We start from the raw sequence: 19,884 nt of genomic DNA, 5'->3' as shown, positions 1-19,884 counted from the left end.
GCCATCTCTGCCTGTGCTCTGAGCAGCCAGCTCTTGAGGATGTTTGGGGCCTCCTCCCCCACATGTTCTATGCCCATCTGGTCCCAGGGCCAGAACGCGGCTGGTGTTTCCAGGCACGGGAAGTGGAGCAGTCTATGGCCCCTGCCTTGCTGGCTGTGAAGCAGATTTTTGCGGAAGGTGATCAGCTACAAAGGGAGGCAGCATGCAGTAGTCCTCGTCCTTTCACTCAGAGGGCAAGAAAGAATCTGTTCACACACACACGCACACACACACACACAGGCACACGCACGCATGCACTAAGGTCTTGTGCGTGTATGGTGTGCTCCCAGCTTCATGAGAAGCAGAGGATCCCTCAGTCTGGCTGTGAACTTCAGGTCTTTAAAAGGCCAAGAGGCTTCCACAAAGGTTTGACATGAACAGGAGACTATGGGCAAAGCACTTGGGGCTGGCGAGCCCCGGCCTTGTTCTGATGCCTGCCACACCACACATGGGTGACGGGAAGCTGTTCCTGGGGCTGTCTTTCAGTCTCATCTCTCAATCCTCACCTCTGACTTGGTTGGGCCTACACCTGTGGGCAGTCGTGGGTGAGGGTTGATGGAGTTGGAACAGAGCTGGAAAGTGAGTGTAGAGACAGGATCAGGAGCCTCGTTCCCACATGTGACTCCCGATGGTCACATGACCTCCTGAGATGCTTTCCTTGTGTGGAGTGAGGTGGGTTGACCATAGGATCTCCACAGCCCAGATTCTGCCCCACAGAGCCAGGCCCCTCCCTAGGCTGTGTGGGGGCAGTGTCACCTCCGAGGAGGAGAGTGTGGGGGCAGCGTTCTGACAGGTGGAGGACTGGGGGAAGGGCGACAGGGACAACAGGAAACACCTGTGCACAGCAGGGAGCGTTCGGTGCTAGGGAGGGCTGAGGGTAGCAGCATGGGAGATGACGCTGGAGAGGTCTTTGGAGCCGTGGAGGGCCTTTCCGGCAGGCTCAGCAGCCTGCACTTGGCCATGTGGCCAGGGAGACTGAAGCGAAGGAGGGGGAGGAATCTGGCTCGCACTTGCTACCCACTCTGGAGCAAGGTGTGGGTGCAAGCTGCGGATGCTTCCCTACGGCTCCAGTCTACCTGCAACCTGGCTGCCCGACAGCCTCCGTGGGGCCTCTCCTGGGGCTGGTGCTCCAAGGTCAGACCCATTCTGCTGAATCCAGCAATGGGACTACAACAGACAAAGCCCTTGGCTTCTAGTGACAACTTCGCTAACAGACGCACCAGCAGAAGCCCGGCCTAGATATATTAATATTTGCACCTCTCCCGGGTCTGGGCTGCCGCTATTGCAAGCACAGTCCCCATCTTCCCAACCAAGCCCTTGACAACAGGCATAATACTTTGTGTTTGGGGAGAAGAGGTGTGGCTGCCAGCAGGCGCCCCAGCAGGGCTGGTCTTTCCTTCACCTGCAATCTACCTTTGTGCCAGGGAAGTGACCTAGAGGCTAAGCTGGAGTGAAGGGTTGGCAGTGGTGGGCTCCATCCTCGCTCCTTGGGGACGGACACTGGCCCTCAGGGCCGCAGGCACAGGGCCCTCTTGGCAAGTGGAGAGGGAGGCGGAGGGCTGTGCAGTCCCTTGGGCCCAAGCTGGAGTCCCTCTCTGACTGCACTGACGTCTCTTTAGCCGCGTGACCACAGGCAATTTGGACTCACGGGACCTCACAGGTGTCACCTGAAGTCGGAGCAATCAACGTTTCTGGCCAGTTGTTGGGAGTGTAGAATAAAATCATGATTACGGCGGCCCTGGCGCCGAGCCCGGCTGGCCGATAGCGATAGCCTCAGAAACGAAAATGACTAAGCATAGAGCCTCCCAATCCTTGTTTTGTTTTTTTCCTTTTGGAAACTGACATCCTCTCTATAGCTACATTTTGGGCTGCTCCAAGTGAGAAAAGCATTTAGGGGGAACTTCCACCTCTGATTGAGGGATGGGTGAAATCCCCTTTCAAGTCAACTGGGAATGTGCTCTCCGGAGGAGCACAGAGCTGTCTCCGCACAGGCAGACAGGTGGGAGGCCCCTGGAAATGCCCCCAGCCCTCTTCTTCCTGGGAGATGACAGGAGGCTTGGAGACATTTAATTATCCTCCCTTGGGGGGAAGAGGGCTGGGCCTGGGGGCTGTGGGAGGAGCAGGCAGCCCTTCACAGGATGAGGGGAGACCGGGCACTGCCTCTCAAGTGTTCCTCACACTGGCTCATCCTCCTGCTGGTATCTCTCCATGAGGTCAATGAACCACCTTCCTGTAACCCTGGGGCAATTGCTAGTGTCTTACGTGCCGCCCACCAGGTTTCATCAGGGAATGTGTGAGAAGTAGTTCTAGGTCTTGCCATTTTCACAGATATTTTTCCAGTTTCCCTCGTTTTATGGGGTCCCTCCAGACCCCAGATGGGGGGCTCTAGGCTCCAGACCCTCCTACAATTGCCAAGATGGATCCTGAACTCCGCATGGCCCAAGCATCTCTTCCAAGGAAATGGGTTTGCCTTCTTTTTCTTTCCTTAAAAAAATACTGTGCCAAAACTAAAGCGTAGTTCATGAAGTGAAGCCTTCCAGAGAGATCAGATGATGGCATCCTAGAGAGATCAGATGATGGCATCCTAGAGAGATCAGATGATGGCACCCTAGAGAAATCAGATGATGGCACCTTAGAGAGAGCAGATGATGGAACCCTAGAGAGAGCAGATGATGGAACCCTAGAGAGATCAGATGATGGAACCCTAGAGAGATCAGATGATGGAACCCTAGAGAGATCAGATGATGGCATCCTAGAGAGATCAGATGATGGCACCCTAGAGAGAGCAGATGATGGCACCCTAGAGAGAGCAGATGATGGCACCCTAGAGAGATCAGATGACGTCACCCTAGAGAGATCAGATGATGGCACCCTAGAGAGATCACATGGTGGCCTTATTAGGAAGCTCAGGTCAGACCTTAATTGGGGTCTGTTGGGCGCCAAGTTCTGATGGCAGCAGGGAGAGGTGCACAATCCGCCTCCAGATAAATGTCAGCTGGAGGCTCTGGGCTCGGCTACTAGCTCTGCCACCAACGAGCAGCAAGGCCATCAGCCTGTTGCTTCTGCCCTCTGGGCCTCAGTCTCCCCATCTGTAAAACTGCAGATTAATAGCTCACTGCACGGAGTTATTTTGGGGCTAAAAGGGGATTGTTTGTGAAAGTGTCTACCACATGCCGTTTCATTAAAAGTCAGAAATTGATTTGTTTTTACACACACACACACACACACAGTCTTGTACTCACACGTCTCTATTTTTGAAATGGCATGCACAGAGTGCTCCCAATTTTATGAGAATCAGAATGGGGTGGGCCCCTCACCAGGCTGTGGCATGCAGGCCTCGCTCAGCCGTACACACTCAGAGCCACCATGTCCCCATCTGTACAACAGGGGCTTGCACCCGATGATGCCCTGCTTTTCTCTTAACTTGCGCATTCTGCAACTCCAAGAAACACATCTGCCTCTCACTCAATAGTCATTATTAGCAGGTTACAAGAAGCTTGTGAGAGTCACCCAAACCAGGGAAGAGTATGTGAGGCAACTGCCCCAGGACAGGGAGATTTTACAAGACTGTGGATGGGAGGTCAAGAAAGGAGGAAGAGAAGCCAGTGGCCTTTAAGCACAAGCCAGGACAGCAGAGAGCTGGCTGCAGGGGACCTGGAATCGGGGGTCTCCGTGGGAAACAAAGCAGGGAGCTGTGAGCCCTGGGATGCAATGAGAAAGGAAGATATTTTTACTATGATTCCTGCACCTGCCCTGTGGTTATAGAGTGGGCCTCACTCCCTCTGAAGCGGGTTCCACACTCCTGTGTCTTGGCACCCACACTGTTCATGGTGAGTGGGACGTTCTTTCTACTCCCTCTTCCGGGAGAGCTCCTACTCATTCTTCAAGGCCTAACTTAGACATCATTTTCTATAGGGGATGGAAAATAAATAGTCCACACTTGTTTTGTGGACACTGAAATTTCAATTTTATGTACTTTTCACGTGTCACAAAATGTTATTCTTCCTTTGAATTTTTTCAGCCATGTAAATACATAGAAACAATTCTTAATTCATGGACTGTACCAAAACAGGTAGCAGATCAGATTGGCCACAGCCAGAGTTTGCCAGCACCCCCTCTGCCCTCTTGCTGTTCAAAGTGGGGTCCATGCCCAGTAGCCTCAGCCTCATCTGAGAGCTTGTTGGAAATGCAGATTCCAGGGACCCACCCAGACCTACAGACTCAAAGACTACATTTTAACAAGGTCTCTGGATGGCTCAAGTGCATTTTAAACTTTAAAATCTACGCTCACACCACTGCACTCTAGCCTGGGTGACAGAGTAAGACCCTGTCTCAAAAAAAAAAAAAAAATCCTGCCTGGGTGTCACCCCCAGAAATTCTAATTTAATAGGTATGGGGTGCAGCCTAAACAGCTAAACAGTGGGACTTTTTAAAGCTCCCCATGTGGTTCTAATGCACAGCAGAGTTCCAGAACTCGTGCCCCAGAGAGATTACCCAGGGAAAGAAGACTGCTCCTCCTCCTAGATCCCAGAGTCCCCAGGTCACTCCTGCATAACACAACATGTCACTGTAGAGAAACTATTTGTTACACTCTGAGCTCCTCTGAGATCAGAATCCTGTCCAATCCTAATTTATGAAGGTCTCAGACAAAACACCTACCGCCTCTGGGACTGGATCTCCTCCTCTTCCAATGCATGGCTTTGTAGCCGTAAATCTGCTCTTCACTGACCGCCTCCCTCCCCTGGTGCCCCAGGTGAGTGCAGAGAAGGCGGCCTCCAGAGCCAGGGTCACCCTGGCCTCTCCCGCCCTCCCTGAGCTTCCCCCGCTCAGGCCAGCACAGGCTCTGGGGAAAAGGGGAACAAAAAGAGGCAACCCACACATCCAGCAAACCCACTGAGCCCAGGGGGTGCACAGACTGTACCTTCCACAACCCTCCTCCCCTCTTTCCCAGCTGGAGGGCGTGCAGCCCCTCTCCCCCTTGCAGTGGGTCCCCGCTGCCCCAGCCCCTGCCTCCTGACTCCTCTGCCTTTTGGCCCTGACCCAGCATTTTCCTGGAGAAACGTGTGAGGGAGGGGTGCACGGCACTGACTGAAAGCCACACAAGAGTCTTGCCTGGGAGGGCCTCTGTTCGGGAGAGGGCTGGGGGACACAGGACAGCCCCTTTCAGGCCAGGGCTGACACTCCTGCCCCACCTGGCCTTGCACCCCCTGGCCAGGCCCCTCTCTACCTGGGGCCCTCTCATCACTTTTAGCTCTACAGCTAAGCCCTGCACTCCACAGACCCTAACTCTCTCCCAAGACCTCCCACTCCAAGCCCCCTACAACATGGCAGCCTCCCACCCTCCAGAGTCCCCACCACAGAGCATCCACAGCCTAAGGCTTCCGAATCCTCGAAGGTCGGATCTAGATGGGGCCTCGAGAAGTCTTATTATACGTATAGGGAAACCTACGCCCAGAGGAGGGGAAAAATTGGCCCGAGATGGTGGCAGACTGGGGACCACCACCTCCCTCTCCCCCATCTAGTCCCACACACTTGCCCCACTGCAGGGCTCCTCCCACTGCACCAGCTGCCTTAGCAAGAGAAGCAAGGACACAGCTCTGGGTTTCAGGAAAGATGGAAACCCAGAAGAAGGGGCCTGCTGGGGCCAACTCTTAGCCTTTGACTAAGGACAGTGTGACAATGCCCTGCCCCCAACCTCCCCCCACCTACAAGCCCAGCCCAGATCAGTGGAGGTCAGAGTGGGCAACCGTGCAACCCACCTCCCTCCCAGCACAGAGTAATAGAAACAGCTACTATTTATTGAGCACTTACTAAGTGCCAGGTGCCATGCTAAAAGCCACGATTCTCTGCCGTACTTATTAAATATTATATTCCCATTTACCAGATGATCAGAATGAGGGTCAGAGAGATGAATCAGCAGGCCTACGGTCACAAAGTTGGTAAGGGAGTGGTGGAGGAGAGGCCTTAGAGAAAAATGTTTAAGCTCAAAGGCATCTCAGGGTTCCTCTTCACTGCCTGGGCTTCGAACCCAGATCTGTTTGATCTGTTCCCTCGGGGCTCTCAGAGGAGATTCAGTGAGACACCAGGACACGGGTAGGGGCATCCACACTCGGGTTTATCCATTCAGCAGCTATCTCAAAGGTATCAGGGCTAGAAAGATGGGCTGGAGGACAGGCACCCCCACACCAAGGAAGATCAGCCCCTCTCCTGGTCCAAAGACTGTCTCATCATGAGCCCAAGCAGATGCCTCTGTCCCAAGACCACCTGGTGTCAGAGAGAACACATGGGCTTTGGGATCATCAGACCTGGGATTGTTCCCTTCTCTGTGTGACCTTGGGCCTCAGTTTCCTCATCTGTAAAATGGAGATACCTAGCTAGTAGGGTCAATGGAAGGAATAGAAAGAGGTTGTGAAAAGGGCCCGGTGCACGTGATAACTAAATGCTGCAGGCTGCTGGGCGTGCACTGTGAACTCTCCCCCATCCTGGGCCTGCAGGGGGAGCAAGCTTTACCCCAGAAGGAAGCAGCAGGGAAGCACGGCCTGCAGAGCCTCCAGGAATGTGGTAAGGCTCCTTGGCGCCGAACCTGACTATGAGCCCTTCTTTAATTAGTTCCCACTAAAAATAACTCCCCCACCACCCGGCTGCACACCTACCTCCTGGCCTGGCACTGAAGTGTGCCTGAGCTACTCTTGGGGGTGACAGCCAGCCTGTGACAGAACCTACAACACGGAGGGTGCACAGAGCAGGAGGCTTTATTGAGGGAGATACAGAAGCGGGCGTGGGCTCTCGTGCCAGCCAGGCCGCGGCCTCCACTCGTCCCACACGGCCCTGCGGCTCCTGCACACCCCTCCCTCCCGGGCTCCTGGACAGCAGGCAACATAGAGGAGTCTTACCCAGCCTTGGCAGAGGTGCCGGGAGGGCCTTCAGAGTCTGTCCAGGGGAGGGTTGGGGGGACACAGGACAGCCCTTCTGTGCTGTCGATGACATGCCTGCCACATCTACCCATCTGTCCACCGCCTGGTCCATCTCTGCCTGAGGGGCCCTCCTGTCACTTGCAACTCTGGAGCCGGGTCCTGTGGTGCTTCTCCTCGGTCAGGAGGGGGATGAAGGTGTCGCTGTGGGAGAGCTTCAGCCGGCTGCTGCAGCTCGGCGCCTCCTTCCCCGCAGGCTCTGGAGGGAGGTTGTCCAGGTCACTGCGGGAGCCCCCGGTCTTGCCCTCGCCCCCGCTGCTGGAGTTGAGTTCCATCAGCTCCAGCTCGTGCTTGGCCGCGGTCTCCAGGACGCGCTGCTTGTTGTAGTACCTGACAAAGTTGTTGATGATGGGGTGGATGGGCAGGGCGATGGCGATGACACCACACAAGAAGCTGATGGCCGCGTTGAGCTTGCCCAGCGTGGTCTTGGGGTAGATGTCGCCGTAGCCGACGGTGGTCATGGTGATGATGGCCCACCAGAAGGACTGGGGGATGCTCTTAAACAGGGTCTCTGGATGGCTCTGCTCCATGGTGTAGCCCAGGGCAGAGAAGACGAAGATACCCACTGCCAGGTACATGAGCAGCAGCCCCAGTTCCTTGAAGCTGCGCTTGAGGGCATAGGTGAGGGTCTGCAGGCCCGAGGAGTGGCGGGCCAGCTTGAAGATGCGCGCGATGCGCATGATCCGCAGCGCCTGCACGGCCTGCTGCACGTTGGTCAGCTCCATCATGCGGGCACCCAGGTGCGTGAGCGTGAGGCTCACGTAGAAGGGGAGGATGGCCAGCACGTCCACAATGTTCATGAAGGACAGCGCGAAGTGCAGCTTGTTGGGTGACGAGAAGAGGCGCAGCAGGTACTCCAGGGTGAACCAGCCAATGCACGCCGTCTCCACGTTCTCCAGCGTCGGGTGCTCCACGCGGTTGCCCTCGGCGTCCAGCACCTGCAGCTCGGGGATGGTGCCCATGCACATGACCACGGACGAGACGAGGATGAGCAGGAAGGAGAGCACGGCCACCACCCGCGCCGGGCACGACGACTCGGGCTTCTCCAGGAACTTCCAGACGCACTTCTGGCAGCGGCGCCAGCGGCCCTCGGCTGCGTCCACGCCCAGGTCGTCCAGGATGAGCTGCACGCGGCGCGCGATCTCCTCCAGCTCCTCGCGCTTCTCGCTCAGGTGGCTCTTGCAACAGTCGTCCAGGAACTTGAGGTCCACCTTCCAGAAGTCCATCTCGTTCTTGAAGCAGATGGGGCAGATGCCCTTCTTCATGTGGACCTCCCCGAAATAGTACACCTCGATGACACACTTGAAGGCGTCCGGGTCCCTGTCAAAGTAGAACTCGCGCTTGCCGGGGTCGTAGTCGTCGCACAGGGAGAAGATGGTGTCGTAGCCCCCAGCCAAGCAGTTGATGAGCTCCGCCAGCCGGGTCTCAGGGTACTGACTGAGGAGGTCCCCGTACAGCACCTGCCGCACGCCCCCCACGTTGACGACTATCTCTATGTCGTCGCTGGCAGCGGAGCTCTGGCTGCCCGGCTCCGGGAGGCTGCGCTCCCCGGACCCGTCCATCCTCCCCGCGCGCGCCCTCGCAGCCTCCGCCCCGCGCCCCCTGCAGCCGCCGCCGCCGCTGCCGCTGGGGGTCCGGCGGGTGCCACCCGTGCGCTGATCTCGGGGAGAGCCTGGCCGGCGCCCGCCTGCGGGGAAGGGCGGTCACAGCGGGCAGCAGCCTGCGGGGGCGCGCCGCGGGGGAGGCATGCACCCGGCGGCGGGGCTCGGGGCTGGCATCCGGGCGCCCGGGCGAGCCCGCGGGGGCTTTGGCGGCCGCCGGCCTCGCCCGGGGCACTCACCCCGGCTGGCTGGCGGCGCGCTCCGCCGCTTCAGCTCGGCCTCCTGCGGGAGCGGGGTCTCCTCGTGGGCGGCTGGCACCGTCCTCCGCCCCGGGGCGCGCAGGCAGCGGCGGCAGGTCCCGGAGCTGGCGGACCCACGCCGTCCGCGAGGTGCTCGAGGTGTGCAGAGAGCGAACTTGGGCTGGCTTTGCCCGAGCCTTTTCTAAACACAATAGGAATTCCAGCCTGACGTCAGGAGCTTTTCAAACTGTACCCTCTTCTGGTGAAATTCTGCAAGGCACGCGCGGCAGCTGCAGGGGACGGATTAACCCTTGGGCAGACGGGCACAGCTGCCGCGCCCGCCGCCACCACCGCGCACCGCCGGCCCCTCCTCGGGCGCAGCGGGTCACCGAGGGGTTGCGACCTGGCTTGAAGCGGCAGGCATTCTCTCTCACTGCTGTTTGGAGAGGATTAGTGGGGAGAGAATGCTGCCGCCTGTTGCTGGGCAGGAAAATGTGCTCCAGGAAGCCCCTTAGAAGGTGACTCCTATGTCTGGGTCCCTCCTCCGGCCTTAGACCCGCGCCGGCTTTTCCTGGTGGGAGGAAAATCCTGCCTGATCCTTGAAGCGTTTCCTGCCCCATCCCCCCGACCCAGCAATGCCCTGCTGTGTTGGTGGCACTGTCTCACCTTCCCCGCAACGCTGTACAAGGAGGACATCTAGTCCAGCCTCCTGTAGAAGGGAAGGGACTTGCCCAAGGTCACGCGGCGGAATGAGAGCAGAGCTCAGCTTGACCGCCTCCTGATCCCGAGCTTTCCGGCTGTCCCAGCTGACCGACGCCTGCTGTTCAGCAGATTTCAATTCTGCCTTGAAGTCCCTGCCGTCTGGCACCTCCTATCTCTCTGCAGTCCCACACCAAGGCCACTAGCTTCCAGACCCCTAGGGTCCAGTGGCTCCTGCTTCCCCGTTCCTCACTCCTTGACCAAGGCCTGTCTCTTCCTGACCAGTGTCCCACACCCTCCTCTCTTCCAGCCTTTGCAGCCACAGCTGTCCTTCTGTCCTCACTCACCTGAACCACTACAGCAGCTTCCTAACAGTGTCTCTCTCCTCCGGTTCACCACTATCATCAATACTGCAAATTACTGATATCATCTATGGCCTCGAGATCGTGTTAAAAATATTCTGGAGGGAAGAATGAATAGGCAGAGCAGAGGATTTTTAGGGCAGTGAAACGTACCATAATGGCGGATATGTGTCGTTATGCAATGGTCAAAATCCATAGAATGTTCACCACCAGGAGCGAATGTTAATGCAAACTCGGTGCTGGGCGATGATGACGTGTCCATGTGGGGTGGTCCACCATGACAAGTGTCCCACCCTGTGTGAGATGTTGATGCGCAGGGGAGAGCTGTGGAGACAGGGGGCATGTGGGAATTCTCTGTACTTTCTGTTGAATTGTGCTCTAAAATATAAAGTCTATTTAAAAATGTATTCTGTAGGCTGGGTTTTTTAAAACTTAAGGACATGTCCGTTAATGGATTATGAAATCAATTTACTGGGTCACTGACAGTATTCTTTTTTCTTTAATGAGTTAGCATAAAACAGAATATATTAGAATACATCACATGAAGTATTATTTAGTGAAACTTCGTTTTACAAATTTTACTTCATTTCCATTTAGCATCAGACAATGACATGCTACTACAGAGTAGGAAATCGAGGCTCAGAAAGGTTGAGTAATAATAAGAGTTGCCACTTATTCTCCATGGGCATCGGAGTGCAGTCTCTGAGTGCTTTGCATTTTTGTCATTTAATTTCCCAGCAACCCCTAAGGAAACAAGATGTCAGGTAACCTGCCGAGATCACTCTGTGGAGCTGGGATTTAACCATTGTCCTGCTGGGTTCTGAGGCCTATTCTTCTCCCCAGTACAGTGCTACACACCACCTCCTACACACACCCCAGCTTCCTCTTCCAATCCTTATGCATGCTACTCCCCTTATCAGCTGTCCGAGTACCTGCAGGGTTAAGTTCAAATTGCATCCTAGTCTGAGCTTAATGGGCTTCTAAATACCCATTCATTCACTCAGTTATTCAAATATTTATCGAGCTCTTATGGCACATGTGTGCAAATGCACACACACACACATACACACACCACCCTAGGTGTGGGGACAGGGTTCATATTCTAGTAGATAATATGTTTTTTGTAAATAATAATTAACAGTTTGGGGTAATGACCTTAACAAGAGGGGTATATGTATTATACAAGAGTGGTGCTTCCTGAATTTCTCCACAGGGGGCGCTGAGGGGCGGCCATCTGGTTGGAAGAGGGAGGGGCTGCATTTGCCTAGAAGCCCAGCCTTCACTCACTCAGGTTTGCATCGGGGTGTCTGATGAATCTCCCTCAGCAGATAGAGCCCCAATAGCTACTCCTTTGTATCGTCATGAAATACAAGGTGCTGTGGAACCCGGGAGTTTGCAGATACCTGGGCAGGCCCAGGAGAGGCTGGTGCATTAAAATTATACCGCTGGGATTTAGAGAGATCAATGTCATTGAAAGAACGCATTACTAACATGTCCTGAGAGAAGAGGACACGCCAGAGGAAATTCCAGGTGTGGCCAGGCAGAAGCAGGAGCGAGGGGAAAACGAGGCCAGGCCCTCTATTGGGGTTTCCTGGGGGAAAAGTTAGGGCAGAACAGAGGAAAGAGTCCAGGATTGGCTCCTTGGGATAATTCTGGTGGGCTTTGAACTACAGAGGTGGTCTCTAGTTGCCTGGTCCCTGGTCTGGGATGATTTAGGGCAGGGAAATATTGCCTTGGTGTGTGAGAGTTTGATGAGGGGAAGTTGGGGGTCTGGGCCTGGAATTGGTGGGTTTGCCTGTGAAAGATACGCTCCAGCCTTTCGCAATCTCTAAGGATGTCACCCACTGGGAGGGGCAGTCTCTCCAGTCTGTGAGGCCACATTGCCAGTCATCAGGAATGCAGAAAATAAGAAATCATAGTTAATACACTATTGACCCCAGGCTGAGAGGATGGCAGGCGGACAAATCTAGAATCTAGAAAGATGTGATGACAAGCTGGAGACTCAGGCCCCCGGAAGAGCCAGTGCGTGAGCTGAGCCTGGAGGTCTGAGTGCCACCTGCCTGCTCAGCTGAAAGGGCCACACGGTTTGGAGGTGAGGCTGGCAGGCCTGAGGCTGGTGGAGTCAGCTGGAAACAGACCCCGGAGGGTCTCAGCGGCCCTGGAGGCATCTGGACCACAAGTCAGCACTTCATACTTTAGGTCGTGGCTCAGTAGCTGGCTGTGAAATTAACGTATTGAGTATTAGAAAATAACAGAGAATATCAGACGTGGAAAAATAAATACGGCTTGAATCAGGTCATAGCAGCCAGAGGCTGACTCTGACTCCAAGTCCATTCAGCAAATCCCAGGCCCAGTGGGGAGAAAGCTGGTCTGGTGCAGAAGTGGGAGGGGAGGGGCAGCAGATGCAAAGCCCAGCAGAGAGAATGTCCGCACACAGCCCACAGGAGAGCAAGTGCCCAATGACAACAGGGGCAAGAGAAAGAAACAGCTGTAAATAGCAGGTCAAGGCTGGAGGTGCGAGACCAGCCTGCAGCCAGAAGCCAGGGGAGGGAAGAGAAGAGGCAGAGACACAAATCCTGCTCTGTGAGGATCAGCCCTGTATCCTTAGATGGGGGAGCAGAAGGCTGGCATTCATGTGCCCCTCAGTTTCCCGGGCTGTTAAATGGGTGACATGGACTTACATATTCACACGTTGTCATTTGTTGAATAGCATAGTGAACAGAGAGGCTACAGGTGGAGGCCTTGCCAAGCTCTGACACTTACTGGTGGTATGAGGCTGTGGGTTCAACTGTGTCCTCTCAAAAGATATGCTCAAGCCTTAAACCCGGCCCCTGTGAATGTGACCTGATTTGGAAGTTGGGTCTTTGCAGATGTAAGTGAAGATGAGATCACCCTGGAGTAGGGTGGGCCCTAAATCCAATCACTGGTGTCCTTGTAAGAAGAGACACAGATACACAGGGGGAACACCACGTGGCAACACAGGCAGAGGTTGGAGTGATGCTGCCACAAGCCATGGTACAGCAGGGACTGCCGGCAGCCACCAGAAGATGGGAGAGACGCATGGAGCCCTCTGAGTCCCCAAGAGGGAACCAACCCTGACGACACCTGGATTTTGGACTCTGGTCCCCAGAACTGTGAGAGCATAAATTTCTGTTGTTTTAAAACCACCCCAGTTTGTGGTATTCTGTTACGACAGTCTTAAGATACTAACACATGTGGCCTTAGGCAAGCTGTAACTTTTTTTTTTTTTTTTGAGTTGGAGTCTCTTTCTGTCGTCCAGGCTGGAGCGCAGTGGTGTGACCTCGGCTCACTGCAATCCCCGCCTCCTGGGTTCAAGCAATTCACCTGCCTCCGCCTCCTGAGTAGCTGGGATTACAGGCATGCGCCACCATGCCTGGCTAATTTTTGTATTTTTAGTAGAGATGAGGTTGCACCATATTGGCCAGGATAGTCTCATCTCCTGACCTCGTGATCCACCCACCTCGGCCTCCAAAAGTGCTGGGATTACAGGCGTGAGCCACCACCTCGACCTCCAGAAATGCTGGGATTACAGGTGTGAACCACCACGCCGGGCCGGCAAGCTGTAACTTCTTTAAGCCTCCAATTTTTCATCTGTGGAATAAGGAGACTGCCACAGTACACGGTGATGGGGCTACAGAATACAGTGGGGACTCAGTGCTAGAACAGGTGGGGACTTGGTGCTGGAACAGGTGGGGAGCAAGTGCTGGGACAGATAGGAACCAGATGCTGGGACAGGTGGGGGCCAAGTGCTAGGAGAGGTGGGGGCCCAGTGCTGAGACAAGCGGGGACCAGGTGCTGGGACAGGTGGTGACCAGGTGCTGGGATAGGTGGAGAGCAGGTGGGGACCAGCTGCTAGGAGATGTATGAGCCAAGTGCAAGGGCTACCCTGGAAAAGGGAGGCTCTGAATCAGCGTGGGGCCTAGGGGAAAGCTCACAGAGAAGGTGCATGCACCCGTCTTTTGAACCGGCAGGGGTGGTTCTTACTGCATTCCAGGCTCTGTTCTGGGCGCTGAGAACAGAGCAGAGATGAGATGGACGAAGGTGCTACATCTGCAGAGCTAGAGGATTTGTGTGGAGACCTCAAAGCAGTGCCAATTGTGAAAGATGACTGCTAGGCCAGTGACTGAAGGGACATCTGGGAGCCTCCAAGGGGACATCTGGGAGGCCTGGCTGTCCAGGGAGGTCCAGCCTGTCCAGTGGAGCTCTCAGAATGACTGAAGGGCTCCTTACCCACACTATCCAGTACAGTAGCCGCAGCTGCACATGGCTGCTGAGTGTTTGGCATGGGCCTAGTGCACCCGAGTAGCTGAATTTTTATTTCAATTATATTTGATTTTTAACAGCTTTGTTGAGATGCACTTCACATTCCATACGATTGATACACCAGTGGCTTTTAGTGTATTCAGAGCCGTGCAGCTATCAGCACTGGTTCATCTTAGAACATTTCATTACCCCCAAAATGAATGCCACACCTTTTAGCCATGACCCCCAACCTCCCCCTGCCCTAGACACCCACTAGAATACTTTTTGTCTATGAATGTGCCTATTCTAGGAATATCATGTAAATGAAATTCTATAATATATGACTTTTTGTGACTGGTATCTTTCACTTACAACTTACCATGGATTTTTTGTTTGTTTGTTTGTTTGTTGTTGTTTTTGAGACAGAGTCTCACTCTGTTGCCCAGGCTGGAGTGCAGTGGCACAATCTTGGCTCACTGCAACCTCCGCCTCCTGGTTCAAGCGATTCTCCTGCCTCCCTAGTAGCTGGGATTACAGGTACACGCCACCACATCCAGCTACTTTTTGTATTTTTAGTAGAGATGCGGTTTCACGATGTTGACCAGGTTGGTCTCAAACTCCTGACCTCAGGTGATCCACCCATCTCAGCCTCCCAAAGCGCTGGGCTTACAGGCGTGAGCCACCGCGCCTGGCCACTTAACGTTTTTAACGTTCATCGGTGCATGGCATGTGTCAGTACTTCATCCCTTTTTATGGCTGATCATATCCGTTGCATGGATAAGCCAAATTGTGGTGATAATCCCCTGTGGTCAGTGGCTGCCATGTTGGGCAGATGGAGTCTGGGGAAGCTGAGCCAGGTCAGGTGGGCGTGGGCAGTGAGGAGTAGGGCCAGGCCTCCCAGGCAGACAAGGCAGTAGCATAGACAGAGGCAGGAAAGTCCCCACCAGGGTTCCAGGCCCCGCACTGCACTGGTCTCTGCATGCTCCACGCTAACTGTGCCCTCTACTGCAGTGCTGCCCTCACCCGTCCCTGGGGTCATTCTTTCCACCCTTTCAAAGCTCAGTCCTCAGTGTCACCACTTCCAGGAGGTCTCCAGGGACTGCACCCCTCTCCAGCCCTCCTTTCCCCAAGGGATCAGGGCCCATTCCCTATGTGCTCACAGAGCCCTCAGCTGTCCTATGGCACAGGGTCAGTTCATGCACCACTGGTTTGTCTGCCCCCAACTCCAGCCCCAGTACAATCTGGATTATTCTTCTCTGTGACGGTGCCCAGCATCGGGCCTGGACATGCAGGTGCTAGGCAGGCATGTGGAGGGAAGGAATGAGAAAATGCTTCATTATGCCCAAACAGAACCCACATAACTTTGAAACCACAGGACCTTCATGGTCTCTGATGAGCCTTAATTTGCTCAGCTGTCCCACAGAGCCAGGCTTCAGCAGTGTCTGGGGCGTGGCGGTGAGAAAGACATGGTCCCCTGGGCATGCCCCAGACTTGTGGGCAGACTGATGGGAGGTGAAAAGCACCTGGGAACTGAGCAGGGCTGGGCCGTGGCTAGAGAGATTTTTGGGGGTCAGAGGATGGTCTTCCTTCCACGGTCAGGACACAGGCATTTTCCCTTTACCCCTGCATGCTGCACACCCCACCTCCTCATCAAACCCTGGCAAGTCCACATTCTGGTCTACTGACATGCCCAGGCCCAGAGTGCCCCACACCTGGAATCCCACAAACTCCACTTGTCCTCCCAGGCCAGAGCAAACGGAGCCTGCAGATCAGGTTGGCTGACTCCTTGCCCAGTGCTCTCCCCAAGCCTGTACTACTGCCTCTGTTATGGACTGAATGTTTTTGTACCACCCCCTCCAAATTCGTACGTGGACGCCCTAACCCCCAATGTGATGCTATTTGGAGATGGGGCCTTTAATGAGATAATGAAGGTTAAATGAAGCCATAAAGTTGGGGCCCCAGCCCAACAAGATTAGTGGCCTTAGAAGAAGAAGGTAGAGAGACCTTGCTCTCTGTCTTCACCACGTGAGGGTACATTGAGAAGGTGGCCATCTGCAAGCCAAAGAGAGAAGCCTCAAAGAAATGAAACCTGCCAGCACCTTGATCTTGGACGATAAATGCCTATTGTTGAAGCCTGAGGTCTGTGGTGCTTTGTTACACGGCCCAAGCTGACTAGTACGTTCTCCTTCCCTCACACTTGCTAAGTGCCGCCTCTGCCTTCCTCTTCTCAAAGCTCTGGAAACAGGCCCTTTGTCCTCTGACCATATAGATCCTGTTTGGAAAGGCGAGGCTGGGATCCCATGGATTAGGAAAAAAAGAGAAAAATCAACATGCTGCTTTCTCACTGAAGGTCATTGTTGCATAGAAACTTGAGCCAGCAGCCTGGATCCATTTAGAATTTCCTGAAGGGTTAAACCAGAAAAAAAAAAAAAAAGTCTGAACTTTTTGGCTAAAAATGGAAAGCTTCTTGCTGTGATGTATTCAGTCCAGCATAGACCTTCTATGAGAATTATACATTTCATGATGCCATGGGGGAAGGGACGTAGAGCACAAAATCTATTAGACATAGAAGAAGCAGCAATTTTACCTTGCGGGTTTCTTATTTAAATAAAGGGTGGGGGAACAGTTTATTTAGGCATAATGGGAAGTAGTTGTTTGAGCTGCATTTTCTCATTAAAAATTTTTTTTATTTGTTGAACAATACCATTTTGGGCTACAGAATGCTAGATTTCTATGGCAGTAATTAAAACCAGTGCCTGTGTATCTAAGTGATTTGTCTAGACGGCAAATGATGCAAGCTGTAATCTATTCCTTTTTATGGGCTAATCAGTTCTGCTCAGTTAAAATTTCCTTGTGTTTTGCTGAATTGAATAATACCTTTCATTAAGATTCAGTTCCCTCTCCCTCTCCCTCTCCCTCCCCCTCCCCCTCTCCCTCTCCCTCTCCCTCTCCCCACGGTCTCCCTCTCCCTCTCTTTCCACGGTCTCCCTCTCATGCTGAGCCAAAGCTGTACTGTACTGCTGCCATCTCGGCTCACTGCAACCTCCCTGCCTGATTCTCCTGACTCAGCCTGCCCAGTGCCTGCGATTGCAGGCTCACGCCGCCACGCCTGACTGGTTTTGGTGGAGACGGGGATTCGCTGTGTTGGCCGGGCCGGTCTCCAGCCCCTAACCGCAAGTGATCCGCCAGCCTCGGCCTCCCGAGGTGCCGGGATTGCAGACGGAGTCTCCTTCACTCAGTGCTCAATGGTGCCCAGGCTGGAGTGCAGTGGCGTGATCTCGGCTCGCTACAACCTGCACCTCCCAGCCGCCTGCCTTGGCCTCCCAAAGTGCCGAGATTGCAGCCTCTGCCCGGCCGCCACCCCGTCTGGGAAGTGAGGAGCGTCTCTGCCTGGCCGCCCATCGTCTGGGTTGTGAGGAGCCCCTCTGCCCGGCCGCCCAGTCTGGGAAGTGAGGAGCCCCTCTGCCCGGCCGCCATCACGTCTGGGAAGTAAGGAGCATCTCAGCCCGGCTGCCCATCGTCTGGGATGTGAGGAGCGCCTCTGCCAGGCCGCCCAGTCTGGAAAGTGAGGAGCGTCTCCGCCTGGCCGCCATCCCACCTAGGAAGTGAGGAGCACCTCTTCCCGGCCGCCATCCCATCTAGGAAGTGAGGAGCGTCTCTGCCCGGTCGCCCATCGTCTGAGATGTGGGGAGCGCCTCTGCCCCGCCGCCCCGTCTGGGATGTGAGGAGCACCTCTGCCCGGCCGCCCCGTCTGAGAAGTGAGGAGCCCCTCCGCCCGGCAGCCGCCCCATCTGGGAAGTGAGGAGCGTCTGCGCCCGGCAGCCAGCCGTCCGGGAGGGAGGTGGGGGGGTCAGCCCCCCGCCCGGCCAGCCGCCCCGTCCGGGAGGGAGGTGGGGGGGTCAGCCCCCAGCCCGGCCAGCCGCCCCGTCCGGGAGGGAGGTGGGGGGGTCAGCCCCCCGCCCGGCCAGACGCCCCGTCCGGGAGGGAGGTGGGGGGGTCAGCCCCCCGCCCGGCCAGCCGCCCCGTCCGGGAGGGAGGTGGGGGGGTCAGCCCCCCGCCCGGCCAGCCGCCCCGTCCGGGAGGGAGGTGGGGGGGTCAGCCCCCCGCCCGGCCAGCCGCCCCGTCCGGGAGGGAGGTGGGGGGGTCAGCCCCCAGCCCGGCCAGCCGCCCCGACCGGGAGGGAGGTGGGGGGGTTAGCCCCCCGCCCGGCCAGCCCCCCCATCCGGGAGGGAGGTTGGGGGGTCAGCCCCCCGCCCGGCCAGCCGCCCCGTCCGGGAGGTGAGGGGCGCCTCTGCCCGGCCGCCCCTACTGGGAAGTGAGGAGCCCCTCTGCCCGGCCACCACCCCGTCTGGGAGGTGTACCCAACAGCTCATTGAGAACGGGCCAGGATGACAATGGCGGCTTTGTGGAATAGAAAGGGGGGAAAGGTGGGGAAAAGATTGAGAAATCGGATGGTTGCCGTGTCTGTGTAGAAAGAAGTAGACATGGGAGACTTTTCATTTTGTTCTGTACTAAGAAAACTTCTTCTGCCTTGGGATCCTGTTGATCTGTGACCTTACCCCCAACCCTGTGCTCTCTGAAACATGTGCTGTGTCCACTCAGGGTTAAATGGATTAAGGGCGGTGCAAGATGTGCTTTGTTAAACAGATGCTTGAAAGCAGCATGCTCGTTAAGAGTCATCACCACTCCCTAATCTCAAGTACCCAGGGACACAAACACTGCGGAAGGCCGCAGGGTCCTCTGCCTAGGAAAACCAGAGACCTTTGTTCACTTGTTTATCTGCTGACCTTCCCTCCACTATTGTCCTATGACCCTGCCAAATCCCCCTCTGTGAGAAACACCCAAGAATTATCAATAAAAAATAAATAAATAAAAAAAAAAGATTCAGTTCTGTACTCCATTGAAAATTTACATTTCATTTTTTGCTGTGTACCCATCGGTATCAGGGAGCTGCCCCGTCCCCACCCCCGCTCCTTCTCCTCATCATCCCCCTCCCCTCATCATCCCCCTTCCCCACCTCCACCAAGAAGAGCTGATTGACAGAAAGACCCAGCTGGTCTACTCCTGTCTGAATACCATGGCCCCTGGAAGTCAAGTGCATGAGGCAGCTGGGTGGGAGGCGGTGCTGGATGGAGGTGGGTAGAGAAGGATGTCAAACTGAATCATCAGGAAACTTCATTTTTTTCACCCCAGCTTCTAAGCATTTTTTTTCTTTTCTATGCCTCAATTTTTTCATCAGTAAAATGGAGCTAATGACTCTTTCCTTCCTGGCTATAAGATCTTATAGGAACAAATACATTATTGGGCATGAACAGCTTTGTAATCGACAAGCTGCTGAACCTGCCAAGGCCAAGAAGAGCAGGGGGAGGAGAGCGGGAGGGGTGACTTCCTTGTTCCCATTCCCGAGGTGGGCACGTTTCCTGAAGTCTGCTCGCCTCTGCCTCTGCTTCCCATGGCTTCTGTTCAGCCATGACTCATCCTGCCTGCAGGCAGGTGGGAGGACCGGGACAGGGTTGCCACACACCCCAGATGTGTAGAAAGATGTCAGAGGCTTTGGGCGCATTCAGCTGCCCCAGAGGCTGCGGGTAGGACCCCTCTGGGCCTGAGATCTGGGAAGAGAGAAAAGCAGTTAGGAAACAAGACCAAGAAGGATAAATGTTCCTGCCTGTGGCCTGCCAGGTTGGAGTAGTGGGGCGTGGGGCTGCTGTTG

The 19,884-nt window shown here is 55.1% G+C and overlaps 1 protein-coding gene across 1 annotated transcript, besides 4 other annotated features; it reads right to left on the bottom strand.

The window, feature by feature from the left end:
• Positions 371-1,274: an enhancer, noted in NCBI's record as "H3K4me1 hESC enhancer chr2:11059851-11060754 (GRCh37/hg19 assembly coordinates)". NCBI's record gives its function as "activates a minimal SCP1, AML or CMV promoter by ChIP-STARR-seq in primed H9 embryonic stem cells {active_cell/tissue: H9 hESC(primed)}" and the evidence as "EXISTENCE:reporter gene assay evidence [ECO:0000049][PMID:30033119]".
• Positions 1,275-2,178: an enhancer, noted in NCBI's record as "H3K4me1 hESC enhancer chr2:11058947-11059850 (GRCh37/hg19 assembly coordinates)". NCBI's record gives its function as "activates a minimal SCP1, AML or CMV promoter by ChIP-STARR-seq in primed H9 embryonic stem cells {active_cell/tissue: H9 hESC(primed)}" and the evidence as "EXISTENCE:reporter gene assay evidence [ECO:0000049][PMID:30033119]".
• Positions 6,774-9,065, bottom strand: KCNF1 (potassium voltage-gated channel modifier subfamily F member 1). Its single transcript, NM_002236.5, has one exon. It carries the CDS (start codon positions 8,570-8,572, stop codon positions 7,088-7,090), a length of 1,485 nt encoding a protein of 494 aa, NP_002227.2. The 5' UTR covers positions 8,573-9,065; the 3' UTR covers positions 6,774-7,087.
• Positions 11,520-12,020: an enhancer, noted in NCBI's record as "H3K4me1 hESC enhancer chr2:11049105-11049605 (GRCh37/hg19 assembly coordinates)". NCBI's record gives its function as "activates a minimal SCP1, AML or CMV promoter by ChIP-STARR-seq in primed H9 embryonic stem cells {active_cell/tissue: H9 hESC(primed)}" and the evidence as "EXISTENCE:reporter gene assay evidence [ECO:0000049][PMID:30033119]".
• Positions 18,560-19,130: an enhancer, noted in NCBI's record as "NANOG-H3K27ac hESC enhancer chr2:11041995-11042565 (GRCh37/hg19 assembly coordinates)". NCBI's record gives its function as "activates a minimal SCP1, AML or CMV promoter by ChIP-STARR-seq in naive H9 embryonic stem cells {active_cell/tissue: H9 hESC(naive)}" and the evidence as "EXISTENCE:reporter gene assay evidence [ECO:0000049][PMID:30033119]".

The sequence above is a fragment of the Homo sapiens genome, chromosome 2 (genome assembly GCF_000001405.40).
Source record: "Homo sapiens chromosome 2, GRCh38.p14 Primary Assembly".
NCBI classification, from domain to species: Eukaryota; Metazoa; Chordata; class Mammalia; order Primates; family Hominidae; genus Homo; species Homo sapiens.
The sequence above is the reverse complement of the archived record's forward strand: the minus strand, read 5'-3'. Positions and strand labels throughout refer to the sequence as shown.

What these genes read in the sequence shown, in the direction of transcription:
- KCNF1 (NM_002236.5), bottom strand. Translation starts at nt 8,572, where the DNA reads ATGGACGGGTCCGGGGAGCGCAGCCTCCCGGAGCCGGGCAGCCAGAGC.